At 56.6% G+C, this 15,487-nt stretch overlaps 1 protein-coding gene and 1 long non-coding RNA gene across 5 annotated transcripts in view, besides 11 other annotated features; both read right to left on the reverse strand.

The window, feature by feature from the left end:
* Positions 1-9,335, reverse strand: part of RASA3 (RAS p21 protein activator 3) — a 154,841-nt gene extending 145,506 nt beyond the window's left edge. For all 4 annotated transcript variants that reach the window (XM_047430157.1, NM_007368.4, NM_001320821.2 and 1 more), the window contains exon 1: positions 9,147-9,335. Coding sequence is in view for 1 of the 4 variants with exons in the window: in NM_007368.4 (NP_031394.2) it covers positions 9,147-9,201 (55 nt within the window). In the remaining 3 variants the exon portion in view is untranslated. The remainder of the gene's footprint in view (positions 1-9,146) is intronic.
* Positions 1,999-7,715, reverse strand: LOC107987192 (uncharacterized). The gene is made up of 2 exons (XR_001750050.2): positions 2,953-7,715; positions 1,999-2,914 (listed from the first exon to the last, which is right to left on the reverse strand). It is a non-coding gene; the product is annotated as an uncharacterized LOC107987192 (long non-coding RNA).
* Positions 3,933-4,434: an enhancer, noted in NCBI's record as "H3K4me1 hESC enhancer chr13:114892696-114893197 (GRCh37/hg19 assembly coordinates)". NCBI's record gives its function as "activates a minimal SCP1, AML or CMV promoter by ChIP-STARR-seq in naive H9 embryonic stem cells {active_cell/tissue: H9 hESC(naive)}" and the evidence as "EXISTENCE:reporter gene assay evidence [ECO:0000049][PMID:30033119]".
* Positions 6,543-7,172: an enhancer, noted in NCBI's record as "H3K27ac-H3K4me1 hESC enhancer chr13:114895306-114895935 (GRCh37/hg19 assembly coordinates)". NCBI's record gives its function as "activates a minimal SCP1, AML or CMV promoter by ChIP-STARR-seq in naive H9 embryonic stem cells {active_cell/tissue: H9 hESC(naive)}" and the evidence as "EXISTENCE:reporter gene assay evidence [ECO:0000049][PMID:30033119]".
* Positions 7,211-7,470: an enhancer, noted in NCBI's record as "active region_8055". NCBI's record gives its function as "activates an Ori minimal core promoter by ATAC-STARR-seq in GM12878 lymphoblastoid cells {active_cell/tissue: GM12878}" and the evidence as "EXISTENCE:reporter gene assay evidence [ECO:0000049][PMID:35858748]".
* Positions 7,761-8,260: an enhancer, noted in NCBI's record as "active region_8056". NCBI's record gives its function as "activates an Ori minimal core promoter by ATAC-STARR-seq in GM12878 lymphoblastoid cells {active_cell/tissue: GM12878}" and the evidence as "EXISTENCE:reporter gene assay evidence [ECO:0000049][PMID:35858748]".
* Positions 8,431-9,058: an enhancer, noted in NCBI's record as "H3K27ac-H3K4me1 hESC enhancer chr13:114897194-114897821 (GRCh37/hg19 assembly coordinates)". NCBI's record gives its function as "activates a minimal SCP1, AML or CMV promoter by ChIP-STARR-seq in primed H9 embryonic stem cells {active_cell/tissue: H9 hESC(primed)}" and the evidence as "EXISTENCE:reporter gene assay evidence [ECO:0000049][PMID:30033119]".
* Positions 8,431-9,510: a biological region, named in NCBI's record as "H3K27ac-H3K4me1 hESC enhancer GRCh37_chr13:114897194-114897821".
* Positions 8,851-9,510: a silencer, noted in NCBI's record as "silent region_5556". NCBI's record gives its function as "represses an Ori minimal core promoter by ATAC-STARR-seq in GM12878 lymphoblastoid cells {active_cell/tissue: GM12878}" and the evidence as "EXISTENCE:reporter gene assay evidence [ECO:0000049][PMID:35858748]".
* Positions 9,541-9,640: a silencer, noted in NCBI's record as "silent region_5557". NCBI's record gives its function as "represses an Ori minimal core promoter by ATAC-STARR-seq in GM12878 lymphoblastoid cells {active_cell/tissue: GM12878}" and the evidence as "EXISTENCE:reporter gene assay evidence [ECO:0000049][PMID:35858748]".
* Positions 11,347-11,526: an enhancer, noted in NCBI's record as "active region_8057". NCBI's record gives its function as "activates an Ori minimal core promoter by ATAC-STARR-seq in GM12878 lymphoblastoid cells {active_cell/tissue: GM12878}" and the evidence as "EXISTENCE:reporter gene assay evidence [ECO:0000049][PMID:35858748]".
* Positions 11,347-11,856: a biological region, named in NCBI's record as "H3K4me1 hESC enhancer GRCh37_chr13:114900119-114900619".
* Positions 11,356-11,856: an enhancer, noted in NCBI's record as "H3K4me1 hESC enhancer chr13:114900119-114900619 (GRCh37/hg19 assembly coordinates)". NCBI's record gives its function as "activates a minimal SCP1, AML or CMV promoter by ChIP-STARR-seq in naive H9 embryonic stem cells {active_cell/tissue: H9 hESC(naive)}" and the evidence as "EXISTENCE:reporter gene assay evidence [ECO:0000049][PMID:30033119]".

A 15,487-nucleotide genomic window follows, 5' to 3' on the forward strand; every position in this document is an offset into this window, starting at 1 on the left:
GCTGCTCCAGCACCTCGAGGGTTTGGAACCAAAACAAGAAATCTCCAGAGCTGAAAAGAAGAGTGAAACCTTTTCCTTCAGAAGGAACACAGCTAAAGAGAAGATTTAGGGGTGCACGCAAGGGCCCTCAGGTACTCTGTGCAGCCCCTCAAAGCAGGGAAAAGGCCAGGAATGAAACCTAACGCAGAAATGGGAACTGGCTCCAACGCCACACGAACAGCCAGCCTGGGTCTATCGCGCCCAGTTCAGACCCGGGCTGCAGCTTGGAGACGATGACGTCCAAAAACCAAGCTCCAGGAAGACACAACAACAATCACCCTTAGGCTTTGTCAGGCATCCCAGAGAATCCTCCGTCCTACCCTGGGCACGCCATGCGCACCAGGCAGGGAGGGTGGCTCTCAGCAAGGGGCTGAGGACTCTGGCCCATCCTGGGGCGAGGGAGGCACCCACGGGGTGGGCCATGCGGGGCTGGGAGCCACGGCCCCCATGCAGGTCCTAAGTGGACATCTGTCTGGTCGGTGGTCAGAAAAAGGATCCCCACGGTGTCTAGGAAAGACTCAGACCTCTTACCAACCTCTGGAATTTTATCCTATGGGCAGTCAGGGCCAAGACAGATGATTCTTTACAGGTTGGAAATTATTCGGATAACATAAAAGAAACAATGTAAAGAGGAAAGAACAGGTGCAGGAGTCGTTCCTCGATCAATTCCAGGTCAAGGCACCGGTTTCGGTCCCCAGTGCGGCTCCTGTCTCCTGACCCAGCCCCCCGGCCCAGCCCCCAGAAGCCCGGCACGGTGTCTCTCGGGACCCAGGACACGCAGGTCAGCGCTGCAGCCGTTACTGGCTGTGTTGTGATACCAGCAGGGCACTGACTGTCCCCAGAAGGAACAAAACTGAGACTTAAATTTGGGTGATTGTTCCAAATGTGGGATTCAAGCTTATTTGAAAACGAAAACTAAGAATGCCAAATTTCAGGGTGGCTAGAGCTACAGCCCCAGGAATCCAGCCCTGTCTGCAGAAACACACCTAATATTTTCAGACACTCATAGAACAAGGAACTACTATTTTTGAGAAAATACTCACAGAAAAACAAAATCTCCCAGACACTCTGATGCCGTTTGACCAATAACCCATGGGGAAACTCACTTCCGGGGATCCAGGCCCGACGAGGGCGTTCCCGGGCACCTCGGTGACTCTGAAACTCATATCTACAGCAAAGCTTGAACGTTTGTAACTGTTCACTTTGGACTCTGCGTCACACCCAGAGAGACCCTGAACCATCTGTCACAGGTGACGTAACCCTCAGTTCCCCTTCACCTGTGCCAGAGCCTCCCAGACACAAAGGCTGGAGCCCCAAAACCTGTCAGGGGCCTCTCAGGGGCCAGCCACAACTCACTCCGCCTGTCACTGCTGGACGCCCGCTGCGGCCTGACGGAGCCGCTCCTTCACCTGTCCACATGCATTTCCCACACAGCACATTGTCTTGAATGAAGGCAAGTTATTTTCTTTCTCGGCCTTGGCGTCCTCCACAGCCGACACTGTTCTTGCAATCTGTGAAGGGATGATTTCTAAGCTCCGCCTTTGTTCTTCACTCACTCACCCACCGTATACATAGTTGCACATTGATGCATAATAGACATATACTTGCTGCTACGGAAGGCCTTGTATTCCTGTCTCTCTTCCTACCACAGCACTCCTGCCATCCCACAGGTAATCCAATTAGCAGGCTGTGTGGGTCTTATCCCTGATCTGCGCACACTCATCTGATCTGTGTTTATCATTCTTCTAGGGGGTGGTGTTGGGCGCTCTCATTTTGCTTCTTTTGAATCTTATGCCGTGGAACTTCCTGCGAGTCATGTGGTTTGGCCTGGGCTTAATATGTTCCTTGAAAGCCACAGAGCAGCCCACATGTGGATGCACATGACATAATCACCGTTTCAGTTGGCGATTACTCATTGGGCTGTTCTTGCATTGCTATAAAGAAACACCTGAGACTGGGTAATTCAAAATAAACGAGGTTTATTGGTCACGGTGCTGCAAGCCGTACAGGAAGTATGGAGGCATCTGCTTCTGGGGAGGCCTCGGGAAGCTTCCAGTCATGGCAGAAGGTGAAGGGGGAGCAGGTGTCTCACACGGCGAGAGCGGGGGCAAGAGCGCGAGGTGGGAGGTGTGCCACCGGATCTCACGAGAACTCACTCACTATCGTGAGAACAGCACCAAGGGGATAGCGCTGAGCTGTTCATATAAATCCACCCTCAAGATCCAGTCGCTTCCCACCAGGCCCCACTTCCAACGACGGGGTGACAGTTCGACAGGAGATTGGTGGGGAGACCCCAACTCCTCAACATTGCTTCTACTGTTTGCTATTTGCTCACTCAGCCACTGGCCACAGGTGCTGCTGCAGTAGACACGTCTGTTCATCGCCTTCACCTATGGTTCAAAGCTAGAAGCTCTGGTTGCACGGCAAGCCCCTCCTTTCCTGCGTGAACACAGACCCCTGCTCTGACCCGCGGCTGCGTAAGACGAGACGCGCTCAGTGAGCTGCCTCCCCGACCCCCACCACAGTTCCACAACGGCTGTCCAACCTCGCACCCTCCAGAGGTACCGGCACCTGCTGCCCAACCTCGCACCCTCCAGAGGTACCGGCACCTGCTGCCCAACCTCGCACCCTCCAGAGGTACCGGCACCTGCTGCCCAACCTCGCACCCTCCAGAGGTACCGGCACCTGCTGCCCAACCTCGCACCCTCCAGAGGTACCGGCACCTGCTGCCCAACCTCGCACCCTCCAGAGGTACCGGCACCTGCTGTCCAACCTCGCACCCTCCAGAGGTACCGGCACCTGCTGTCCAACCTCGCACCCTCCAGAGGTACCGGCACCTGCTGTCCAACCTCGCACCCTCCAGAGGTACCGGCACCTGCTGTCCAACCTCGCACCCTCCAGAGGTACCGGCACCTGCGGGGCATGACACCACATCCCCACGGGACCCCGTGTGGCCCCTTCTGTCAACCCATCGGCCAGAGGCCCATCCACACGTCCCACTGGCCCCTCCAGCTAACTTATCTGGGCCCCTCAAAGGCCAGGCCGTGCATCTCATAACACCAGCCCAACCCAAATGATTCCTTCCCTTCCTGAGACCTCACTCTCTCTTCAGGGGCAAGTTCAAAGCTACCCCTCCCAGACCCCCTCCAAGATGACAGCCAAAACCAAAGCCACCTCTCTCTTCAGGAGCAAGTTGAAAGCCATCCCTCCCAGACACCCAGATGACAGCCAAAACCAAAAACAAAAGCCACCTCTCCAGAGTGTGAGCTCTCCCGGATCTCAACACCCTCCTACTTATTAAAGTGTAGCTCTTTTTCAAATTATATATTTGCTTACATAGAAGTCCAGTTCATTACAGACGAACAGATAGCTTCAAATTCTGCTAGAATAATACCTCCCATCTATGAAGATCTGAGCGGGGGAAGTGCCTGGTGCATCTAAGTCCCATTAATCTCTGCAAAAGAAGGCCTTGGCCTCCACTTTCACAAACCAAGAAACCAAGGCAGAGAGAGGTTAGGGGTCATCTAAAATCAAAGAATTGTCAAGAAACGTGGCCAGCACGCAGTCTCGGGTGTCTGATTCCAAGTGGGTTCGCTACGTCCACGTCTCCCCCGAGGGCCCCCAGGAGCTCTCCTCCTCACCAAGCCCCTCCCACCATCGCTCAGCAGCCTTCACTTTCAAAACCTTAGCAGCCATCACTTTGCTTGTGGCTGTTTCCAGCCAATACGTCCACCTCCTTTCTAAACACACACACGTCTATGTTTAAAACATGACGCGCCACCTGCAAACACGGTGCCACAGCCTCAGGGAGACGCCGCTCATCCACTCTGCGCCTGCGCGGTTCACACGCTCCTTAGCTCCAAATGCCTCATTTGCTTCCATTAGCTCCAAAGAAGCAAGTCAAAGTGTTTTCCACCAATGCCAGATTCCCTTCCAGGAATGACGCCCCCAGGGCTGCCTCCGGGGTCCACACTCTGCCCACCAGTCCAGCACCCTGGCTGAGTCCACCTGCCAGGCACCATTTGCTCACACACCTGAAGGCTGGATGGGTGGCTGTGGCCCTGCTTAAAGGATCACCTCTGCATCTCCAAACTGTCTTCCCAGCACACCCTGTGTCTTGGGCCTCCCAGGCCACTGTCCACCCACACAGACCAGCAGCCCCTTCCTTCCTTCCCTGCCTGAACACTGCCTGCCTCGTGTCCCTAAGGTCACCAACAAGTCTCTCTGTTCTCCAGCCCTCCATGATTCCCCCCATTCCAATCCAAGATCACAGAGAAGAAACAGCTCTCCAAACTGACAGGCAGGCTGCAGTGGTGAGCACCTGTGTCCCAGCTACTCAGGAAGTTGAAGCAGGAAGATCCCTTGAGTCCTGGAGTTGGAGAGTTGGAGACCAGCCTGGGCAACACAGTGAGGCCCAGTCTCAAAGAAAAAAAAATTAATGGACAATACTAAGTGGTGAGGAGAAGAACTCGGATCCCAGGAGCCCGTGGAGCTGGGGTGCTTGGGCCCAGATAAATCCGTGGGTCTCCCTTTCTCCACCTCAGTGCCGTGGAGTTTCCAGAGTTTAGATAAAATGAGATAATACATGGAAACGACGCCCTTAGCATCTGCATCCAGCCTCCACACCCACACACGCACAAGAAACCCACTCCCCTTTCCAGGCAAGGCCCGGGCCCCAGGCTGAACCTGCCCCTGCCGGAGCCCCTGCTGTTTCCCAGGTGCAGCCAGGCCCTGCACCTTCGTCCTCAGGGGTTAAAAATAGCACAGGCAGCTTAGCTGAGCTCGGTTAATAAAATATCCAAGTTAATTTTAGCATTAGGGGAATCTAGGATCTCTGATGCCAAGGCCCATGTGTGGCCACACAGCCCCTCCTTACACTGTCAGACAGACACGGGGAAAGCCACGGCGTGGCCAGTATCCCTCCCTCACCTTCACAAAACACTTCTCTTACCTGAGTGAGCCCTAGCCCTCTGAAGACACTGTTGCTACTTTCTCTTATTAAACAGACCATCACCTAATTTGATGCCTGTAACAGCCCTGTGACCAGCGGCCTCCACCTCCCGTGAGGGAGTCCATCAGGCTGAGAGTGTCAGCTGCCACTTCTAGCAGAGCTGGGCCCGGAGCCCTTACCTTCTAGCCCAGGAGCTGGGGCCAGGGAGGCACAGTCCAGGGGACCCTCCAGGCACCCCACTTGTCATTCTCCCTATTCTCACCCGGTGCCACCTCCTCCTGCTTCAGGTGGGATTCTGTTTGTGATCAGGAGAGGGATAGCTGGGGCTGGAGGCCGGCAGCCCCTGGCCCTCACTGCCCCACAGGCCTGCAGGCACCAGCGGTTCAATGTTGGGCCAGACCGGCCGTGGGTCTTCTTCACGGACAAGCTCCAGCCTCACAGGAAGGGAGCAAGAGCCCAGCGGAGCCACAGGCACTGAGCCCAGAGGAGAAAGAAGGGAGCGACCAGAGAGCCACAGGAAGCCCCAGCGGGGAGCCCACGGCAGGCCCGGCCTCCCACGGACGGCATTCCCGGACGCTGACCGCCTCCAGCTCGACGGCAGGGTCACCGCGGTGCGAGAGCCTTTCCCGCCCTGGACCGCGGGGCTGGCTTTTTTTTTTTCTGTAACAGATTGAGAGAAACACCTTGTGTGTTGCTCTTTATTGAACACATGTATCAAGATAAGGCGCCACATTTAAAAACAAGCAGTAAGTATTGTGGAAACGGAAGACATCACTGCGAGGGGAGGAGGCACTGCACGCCTTGGGGGCGGGGGCCCCAAAACAACGCCGTGGCCGTGGCGGAAGTGCCCTCCCTGTGGGTCCCTGACTCATGGAAAGTCCGAAGCACAGGCTTCCTCAAAGCAGCGATCGCATAGGAAGTGTGGCTCAGTCATGCATGATACACAGACTCTACTGTGAAAGGTTAATGACTGTTTCAAAAGACACAGTGTTTAAGATGTTTAAGTGCACAGAAGGACATATCCAAAATGATTCCACAAAACTGAAATGCAGAAAGCCAGATTCTTCAAGACAAAGACTCCAAATTGTTACCACCAAAGCACCTCACTTCTACGTGGCGCTCTCCTCTTATTACCTCACCTGCAAGAGCTGGAAGGACAAAGAAAGAGGAAGGGGGAAAGGAGGAAGAGATTCTTTCCATTTTTCCCAATGTCAACGTCTGAATGAGGCCACACACCACCACACATTTCAAAGCTATTTAAGAATTTAAATGGCCAATGCCCCTATACCTTAAAAAAAGCTCCCAATCCCCCCAGAAATGTGCTGGCTTTTTTTCTTAGTAAGAGTAGTAGCAGAATTGCTTATGGTATAACTTTAGGGACAATTCTTGTTCTGGGAGTGAGGGGGCAGGGTGTTAACTTAACCCTGAACAACACTGCCTTGTACGTTCCCACCGGATGTAGTAGACAATAATTGCCTGGCTTTTGCAAACGGAAAAATGAGGTTATGAAGGGGAAGACACGGGCCCTGGGTCATGCAGCAAGTCACTGGCAGACTCATGGGCAAATCCAGCGCTCCTGGAGACAAGGCTCAGAGGTGAATGACAGCGAGGGGCCCTCAAATCAACCACAGGGGCACCATCTTGTCTGAGCCTTCAAGACCAGGGACTCAGGCAGGGCAAGTCAGAGCCAAGGTTGGCCATGAATGTGGATTAAAGAAAGAGCCTGAGGGGCTCAGTGGCCCCCTGGCACCAGCGCCGCTCAGGGTCATCCTCCACTTCGCTTCTACAGATGGGCTTTCTGCTGGAGCCCCGGGGTATCAGGCCAGCAGCACAGTTACATGAGACTAACCCCAAACCAGCGCACCCACAGGTCACCCTCAGGGTCTCCAGCCCAGACTGCATCTCTGCTCAAATGCAGGAGGTGCCCTGTCTCCCCAGCTACTTGGGGCACAGATACCCCTCAGGCAGCCAGCCCTGCAGGTGACCTCTGGAGGGGAGAGGAAACGGGGACTTCTTGCTGGAGCCACATCCAGAGAGTCGGGCAGCTGGCATTTGGGCCTCTCTACCCGTCCTCACTGCTGCTGCCCCTGGGAGGGTCAAAGGTTCAGATGATATCCAGGCCCCACGTGGGATTAGCAGCCTAAGCCTCAGCTGAGCCAGGGTTTCACTGGCTTGTTTAAAGTGGAGCACAGAGCCTGACCAAGTTGTGGCATCTCCAAACCTCCTTCTCTCCGAGGGATCCTCCAGGGTGCCTGACCCCCACGCCTGTCGGAAGTGGGGCCGAGTGCCCGCAGGCCGGTGAAGCTGCCTTCTGGGAGACTCAGGGTCTGAGTATCTGGTCTGAGACTCTGGTCTTCCCTCGCCCTCCTGTTCTACTTCCCATGCCTTCTGTAAAGTCCTGCCGTGGCCTGAAGTGTAGCCCTTCCTGGAGTACACAGCGAGCATGCTGTGCCGGCTGTGGGCCCCCCACCCCCGAGCCGCAAAGCCCCAGGCCGCCTCTGCCTGCTGCCTGGAGACCTGGCACTGCCCCACAGGGGCACCCACCTCCAGCCCTCCTGCCCCCGTGACTGAGGAAGCCCAGTGCTTCTCACACTCCTCAGACTCGCTGGCTGAGCCAAGCAGCCTTGGCTGAAGGAAAGAGCAGCAAACTGACCCCCACGGGCCGCGACCTTTCCCCACCCAGGCAAGGCGACCTCAGGCACTTCAGGGAGCGCCAGCTCTGGCTTTCTTGTATGAAAGTGACAGCGGATTTAAACCACATTAACAAAAGAAATCCCTCCTCTCTGGACTACTCAAAGCGGAAGTGCTGCCACATCCTAGCTGCAGCGCTTCTGGGCCAAATATCAAGACAGTGTCTCAGCGATGATCCGCAAACCAAAATAAAGCCGACAGGAAACAGCCCGCTGGTTTAGGGGAGCTGGAATGCCTCCGGCAGCATCAAATGTCATCAACAACTGACACTCAGCCCGTTCCCGGAGGCCTCTTCACACGGGAAGAGGCCGGCTGCGAAGTGCGGCTCAGTGGGGGAGAAGGACCGTGGGGACCGCGACACTGCAGGCCCTGGAAGCCTCTCCAGCCTGAACCGCGCTGTGGTCCAGCACACTCATGGCATGAATATGGAACAGTCACTCCAGGAAACGGTCTTGCTCTGGGGGAGGGGGAGGACTTCCACATCACTCTCCCAAGATAAAACAACCAGGGAAAAGCAGATCCCTCCAGATAAACCAGAAGTCCAGACACAGCCTCCTCTCCGGAAACGCCTCCGGGAGCCCACTTCAGAAGCTGCTGAAGCCCAGAGAAAAACCGCAGCCTCGCAGGCCCTGGTCGCCACCAGCTCGCCCGCCACTTCTCAGTGGAAAGGGACGTGGTGCCGATGGGTCCGGGGTCTCCCCGCCCCGCGGGAGCCCTCAGCCAGAACGCCCCACCAGCACACACGCACACATGCACACACACAAACGCGCGCACACACACGCGCCCACACACAAATACACACGCGCGCACACATGCATCCACACACAAATACGCACCCACACATGCACCCACAAACGCACGCGCACACACACCGCCCACACATGGACACACAAACACAAGCACACACAAACACGCGCGCACGCAGGCACAGACGCGCGCGCACAGCAGCAGCAGCGCGCCGGGGCCTCACGCCCCTGGGGAGAAGCGTGAAGGAGCCTCCACATTCCCCGGAAAGGAAGTTTCTGGGCGCAGCGGAGAAAGGGAGATGCCGAGACCCCGACGTCAGTGGATTTGACACCTGAAGTGCAGGCGCCCAGACAGCCTCAGGCGCGCGCACTCCTGCAAACACGCGGGGCACACGCTCGGGCGCACACGCGGACAGACGTCCCTCGGCGCAGGGACCCCACCTCCTCCGCCGCTACCAGGGACCGGGGCCGCTCCGGGCGCAGAGGAGGCGCAGGGAGCCGCGTTACCCCGGAGCCGACTCGACCCAGCCCGAGGCCCGGGGAGGCGGGGAGGTGGGGAGGGGCCGCGGAGCCGGACCAGCCGTTCTCCGGGGAGCGCGCCGCGCCTGGAGGGCGTCTCCGCCGGGGTCCCCAGCAAGGATCTGCGGAGGGGAGGCGGGCGCGGGAGAGGACAGGGTCGGGCCGGGGGGTCGGACGCGTGGCTGCCGGCGGACACTCACCGATCTTGATCTTCACGCTCTGGAAGACCCGGAGCCCCTCGTCCTCCACCGCCATGCTGCGCGTCCGCGCCCGCCGAGCCTCGCCCCAAGCGCGCGCCGAGCCCGGGCAGCTCAGGCCGAGCAGGAGGAGCGGCGGCGCCGGAGCCCCGAGCGCGGCCGAGGGTCCGCCCGCCTGCAAGACCGCCAGTTGGCCGAGGGCGAGGGCGGGGACCGGGAGGCTCCGCCCGCGGCCCGGCCCCTGCTCCCAACTGGCCCGGGCCCTGCAGGGGCGGGGTTGGCAGGGACGGCGCTGGCGGGTGGCGGAGACCCGGGGGGCGCAGGGATCGGCTTCCCCCGAGGCCTCGGCCCCCGCCCCCGCCCCGCGGATTGGCCGCTGAGCGGAAGGGACCCCAGCGGGCTGCCTGGCGGAAGAGACGAAGGAAGGTCGCCGGCGCGGCCCGGGCCCGCTGAGCGAGGCTGAGCGATTGACTCGCGGACGAACTTTGCCAAGAGAAGTTCACGTACAACGATCTGGCAGGGGAGGAATCCCGCGCCCAGCCCCAGCTCCTGAGATGCGATCCGAAGGCACCTGCTGCAGACGCACGAGGGGGGCGGGGACACATACACGCACACACAGCCCCCCACCCCAGACCTCCGGCATGGGCAGGTCCCCCCCCCAAGTCCCCCTGCAGACCCCAGCATGGGCAGGTCTCCCCCCCCCCAGTCCCCCTGCAGACCCCGGCATGGGCAGGTCTCCCCCCCCCAGTCCCCCTGCAGACCCCGGCATGGGCAGGTCTCCCCCCCCAGTCCCCCTGCAGACCCCGGCATGGGCAGGTCCCCCCCAGTCCCCCTGCAGACCCCGGCATGGGCAGGTCCCCCCCCAGTCCCCCTGCAGACCCCGGCACGGGCAGGTCCCCCCCCAGTCCCCCTGCAGACCCCGGCACCGGCAGGTCTCCCCCACCCAGTCCCCCTGCAGACCCCAGCATGAGCAGGTCCCCCCCCAGTCCCCCTGCAGACCCCAGCATGAGCAGGTCCCCCCCCCAAGTCCCCCTGCAGACCCCAGCATGGGCAGGTCCCCCCCCAGTCCCCTGCAGACCCCGGCATGGGCAGGTCCCCCCCCAGTCCCCCTGCAGACCCCGGCATGGGCAGGTCCCCCCCCCAAGTCCCCCTGCAGACCCCGGCATGGGCAGGTCCCCCCCCAGTTCCCCTGCAGACCCCGGCATGGGCAGGTCCCCCCCCAGTCCCCCTGCAGACCCCGGCATGAGCAGGTCCCCCCCCAGTCCCCCTGCAGACCCCGGCATGAGCAGGTCCCCCCCCCAAGTCCCCCTGCAGACCCCGGCATGGGCAGGTCCCCCCCCAAGTCCCCTTGCAGACCCCAGCATGGGCAGGTCCCCCCCCAAGTCCCCCTGCAGACCCCGGCATGGGCAGGTCCCCCCCCAGTCCCCCTGCAGACCCCAGCATGGGCAGGTACCACCCTTACCTCCCTTTCTTCTGTCTCGAGGTCTCCTCCTCCCTGACCTCCTCTCTGAGGAGTATGTTTGTGTGTGTGTATGAACTGTAGGTGTGTATATGAACTGAGACTACACTCCCTCCTCTATGTTGCAAAACTTCATTGCACCCAGTGCCACACACACACCCTACACATATATACACACATACATATACCACACATACACTACATATACATATACATACACATAGACACCACACACAGACACCACACACATACTACACACGTGTACACACATACATATACACACATATACACACACCCTACATACACACACCACATATACACATGAACACATATGTTCATATACACACAACACAGACAGCACACACATATACTACCCATACACATGCACAGACATACACACTAAACATACATACACACACCTACGTGAACATACACAAACACACACACACTGCATGGAGAGGAACAGGAGCTTCATGAAGATAGAGGCCTATTTTTTTCCACTGCTTACCTTCACTTCCTAAAAAGCAGTTCCATGCGTTGAAAGAATGAATGGCCTTTCTTCCCCTGACTGCTGGGAGCCTGCAGCCACAGGGGCCTCTCTCATCCTCAGCCCTTGCAAGCCTGGTGCTCACTGGGGCAGAACAGGAGGTTAAGGCGGCACCCCTGGTTCCAACCCAGAGCCTCTGCGTCTAGCGCTGGCCCTGGGTGGCGTCTGCAGTGGGTGCTGTGGACGCCATCCACACCCCTGCTTTACGACGGAGACTATGCTTCCGTTTGGAGCCACTGGAAGCAAGCCGGCTCCTGTGTTTCTCCGAGGACCAGTGGAGTCCTCTGTGGCAGCCCAGCCACAAAGCTGCTTCTCTGCCATCCCTCCACCCTCACAGGCCTGCTGATAAACTCAACGCGGATCTCGCTTTGGTGTTTGTTTCCAGGCGACAGCTGGGGTCAGGAGTGAATCTCCAGACTGCAGCAGTGGCAGCCAGGACGGGAGCCCCTTGGAAGGAAATGCACTGGCAGCGGCAGGATCTCGGGTGCTGGAGAGTTCGGGAAAGTCACAGATACATGGACTATGGAATCAGGTGGCTCGTGTTGAGGGCAAGATAATGAAAAGATCACCACCTGAAACAAAAGGGTGGCACGCTAACGGGCCTCCTCAGTGCCACATAAGACACTCATCTCCTGTGACCAGAGGAAAACCAAAACACTGGATCAGGGCCAGGACTTAACCGTGTAGAAGGCAGAGCTCCAGAGAAGGCCAGGTGCTTGGCCTCAGAAGGTGTTGTTCCAGGTTCGGGTGCTCGGCCTCGGAAGGTGCTGTTCCAAGCTCTGGACCCTGACTGGGAAGAAGAGAGGCCCTGACTGGGAAGAAGAGAGGCTTGCGATGGGGCCATCTGAATGAATGCACTCAAAAATCTTGAATCCCAGATTCCTCTAAATCTGCTGGGCCTGAAGAGGTGTCACATTTCTGTCTGTTAAGGACAAATGCTGTTTCTGTGCTTGAAGACACTGCAGAGACCTCTGCAAGGCGACACGCCTGCCACCCACCTCCAGCTCAGCTCCTCCAGGTCAGCATCATCAAGCTGGAGAAGTGCTGAGGCTAAAAACTGAGGAAGAGACAGTCGGCCAAGGAGCTTCAGGACCAAAATGCATGCACCAGCATGAGCCAGGGGTAAATGCAGAACTAGATCCAAAGAACGTTGGATTCAGGGGAGGCAGAATGTAGAGTTAGATGTTAGAATTCATTGACATGGGCGCATTCAGTCATGATACAGGGTTTAGCCCCTGGGAGGTGCTCCGTGCTGCTAGGGTGGCGTTTTCAACTCGTAAAGTAAAGCAATGTCCCACATTAAGCAGCTGTCTGTCAGGATTGGAAAAGGCACTCCTGGGGTCCAGGCTCACTGCACCGGCTGGTGGCCCAGGCCCAGACGTCAGCAGGGCTGGAGCAGGGCTTCTCTGGTGCTCCTGCTGGCGGCTGAGGTGCACAGTCACCCTCACCTCCCGGCAAATGAGCACTCCTCTCCCAGTCATGATGGAGAAAACACGCATCTCCCTGACTCACTCCTTAACCCAGCCGCAAACTTCACTGGGTTAGCCTCGGTCCATTTCACTCCTACATCTCGAAACTGTGGTCGTCTTTACGATACCACAAGAACCTGGGGGGCGGACAGTCCCAGAGAAAAAGTTTGTGCTGCACAAATGGATGCTGGGCATGACCAGAGTGCCCCACAGACGGTCGACTCAGACCCCACGTGCATCTCTCCCCAGTCGGTCCCTAAAACCCACCCTCAGTGCTTATCCAGGCACATCGGAGCAAGGTATCTGTATGTGGGGCCCCCAGCCCTCTGAGAGGCACAGGGGCTGAGCATACATCCAGGGCTCCCGCAACAAAACACAGCCCCGCAGAGCTGCCCAAGCACCGGCCTTCTCACATTTGTGTTCTAAATGAAGGATTTGGTCATTCGTTTTCTAAATTAGAAAGTTGTCTCTTAGAGCTGTGATAATATGAGCTGGGAAATAAAATACTGAGAGAAGAAAGGATCAGATGATGACCCAATAGAAAATCTCTATAATTTCTTCTTTCAATGACCTTGGTGTTACACTTTGCTCTCTTTGGATATACTCTTCTGTTCACATATCAACCCATTGACAAGTGGACATTCATTCATTTCCAAAACAGCATTATTAGATCATGTCTGAACAATCTACTTTCAAAGGATTTGAAGCCACATAAATGACCAGTACACAACGGAATAATTTTTGGAGGGTTCAAAGTAAGAACTGAAGGAAGAACGGTGGAATCAGGTATCTGAACCTGAAAGAGCCCATCCTGCCAGGTGCATCCCAAGGGGCTCACTGGGCCTGAATTCAAAATGGAGGCACGCGACCTTTTGCTCACTAGAGGTCACACGCCAGCTCTGCGTTCCCGGAAGTGCTGGAAATTTCACAGCTGTCTGTTCATGCTGCTGGAATCAACCAAGGCCAGAAAATCCCAATTTGCCCTCTGGACCAAACCAATAGACTGCTACCAGGCTCTACCAAACAGAATGAAGCAAGTCTGCCTCCCTTATCTGCATAAAGGCCAGAATGAGATCCTGGGCAGGAATTCCCTTGTGGAAGACAATCGCATGTTTCTTCTCTGGAATGCACCTTTGTTTTGTTCCAAAGGCAGCATCTCCCAGTTTGCAAACTGCTTGCTGGAATAATGTCTCTTTCCCCTTTTTTTTTTTTTTTTTGAGATGGAGTTTCGCTCTTGTTGCCCAGGCTGGAGTGCAATGGCGCAATCTCGGCGCTCACCACAACCTCCGCATCCCAGGTTCAAGCAATTCTCCTGCCTCAGCCTCCCGAGTAGCTGGGATTACAGGCATGCACCACTATGCCTGGCTAATTTTGTATTTTTAGTAGAGACAGGGTTTCTCCATGTTGAGGATGGTCTCGAACTCCTGACTTCAGGTGATCCGCCCGCCTCAGCCTCCCAAAGTACTGGGGTTACAGGCGTGAGCCACCGCGCCCGGCCTGTCTCTTTCCTTTTAAAAGAAATTTTTTTAGTGGATTTGTTGACACATGTAAGGTGAGAACAGCTGAACGTAAAGCTACACACTGAGCTTCCGGATAGCCAAGGTGAAAAGGGAAATATGGAAATATGAATCTTACACAAGTCACATTATCTGATAAAAGGAAGCATGTCAGACTTTCAGGAAAGACAGTACTTTAGCCCACAAGGCAATACAAGAAATTTTTTAGGGAATTCTTTTCAAAAGGAATATTGGACAAGTTAGGGGAGGATGTTTTTAATCTCAAATGACACTCACTACAGGGCCTAGAACATGGTAAATGCTCAATGAATGTTTGTTGAATGAATGTAGTAAAAATATAACATTAAATCATAATTCTCGCATAAAATTTATGTAGGCACTTAGAAGTCAAAGAAAGTAGCTTTCTAGTGACCTGATGAGCTGCGAAAGAACACATTTGGAGAATCTAGAGAGATGAATAAATAGCCACCGAAGAGTCTTTCTCAAACATTAGTTGAGCCACACAACTGAGAGAAGCAGACAGGTCCACTCCAAGATTCCTGTGGATGCCGAGGCCTGGTGGTCTGTGTTGTTGATGGACAGGAGACGCAATGCTGTGCTGGGTTTATCAACTACAGTCGGAGGCTCAGGTGGGCCTTACCACGGAGCATCATGGTCTCGCTCTCATCTTCTTGAAATGCAGAGAGAGAGGAAAGAAGCAGCCTAGACCCCCGAGTCATGAAGCAGACAGCAGTGGGTGTAGACACGGTGGCGGTGGGTGTAGACACGGTGGAGGTGGGTGTAGACACGGTGGAAGTGGGTGTAGACACGGTGGTGGGTGTAGACATGGTGGAGGTGGGTGTAGACACGGTGGAGGTGGGTGTAGACACGGTGGTGGGTGTAGACACGGCGGTGGGTGTAGACACGGTGGAGGTGGGTGTAGACACGGTGGTGGGTGTAGACACGGTGGTGGTGGGTGTAGACACGGTGGAGGTGGGTTTAGACACGGTGGTGGGTGTAGACACGGTGGTGGGTGTAGACACGGTGGAGGTGGGTGTAGACACGGTGGTGGGTGTAGACACGGTGGCGGTGGGTGTAGACACGGTGGAGGTGGGTTTAGACACGGTGGTGGGTGTAGACACGGTGGTGGGTGTAGACACGGTGGAGGTGGGTGTAGACACGGTGGTGGGTGTAGACACGGTGGCGGTGGGTGTAGACGCGGTGGAGGTGGGTGTAGACACGGTGGTGGGTTTAGACACGGTGGTGGGTGTAGACACAGTGGTGGTGGGTGTAGACACGGTGGAGGTGGGTGTAGACACGGCGGTGGGTGTAGACACGGTGGCGGTGGGTGTAGACGCGGTGGAGGTGGGTGT

The sequence above is a fragment of the Homo sapiens genome, chromosome 13, assembly GCF_000001405.40.
Source record: "Homo sapiens chromosome 13, GRCh38.p14 Primary Assembly".
NCBI classification, from domain to species: Eukaryota; Metazoa; Chordata; class Mammalia; order Primates; family Hominidae; genus Homo; species Homo sapiens.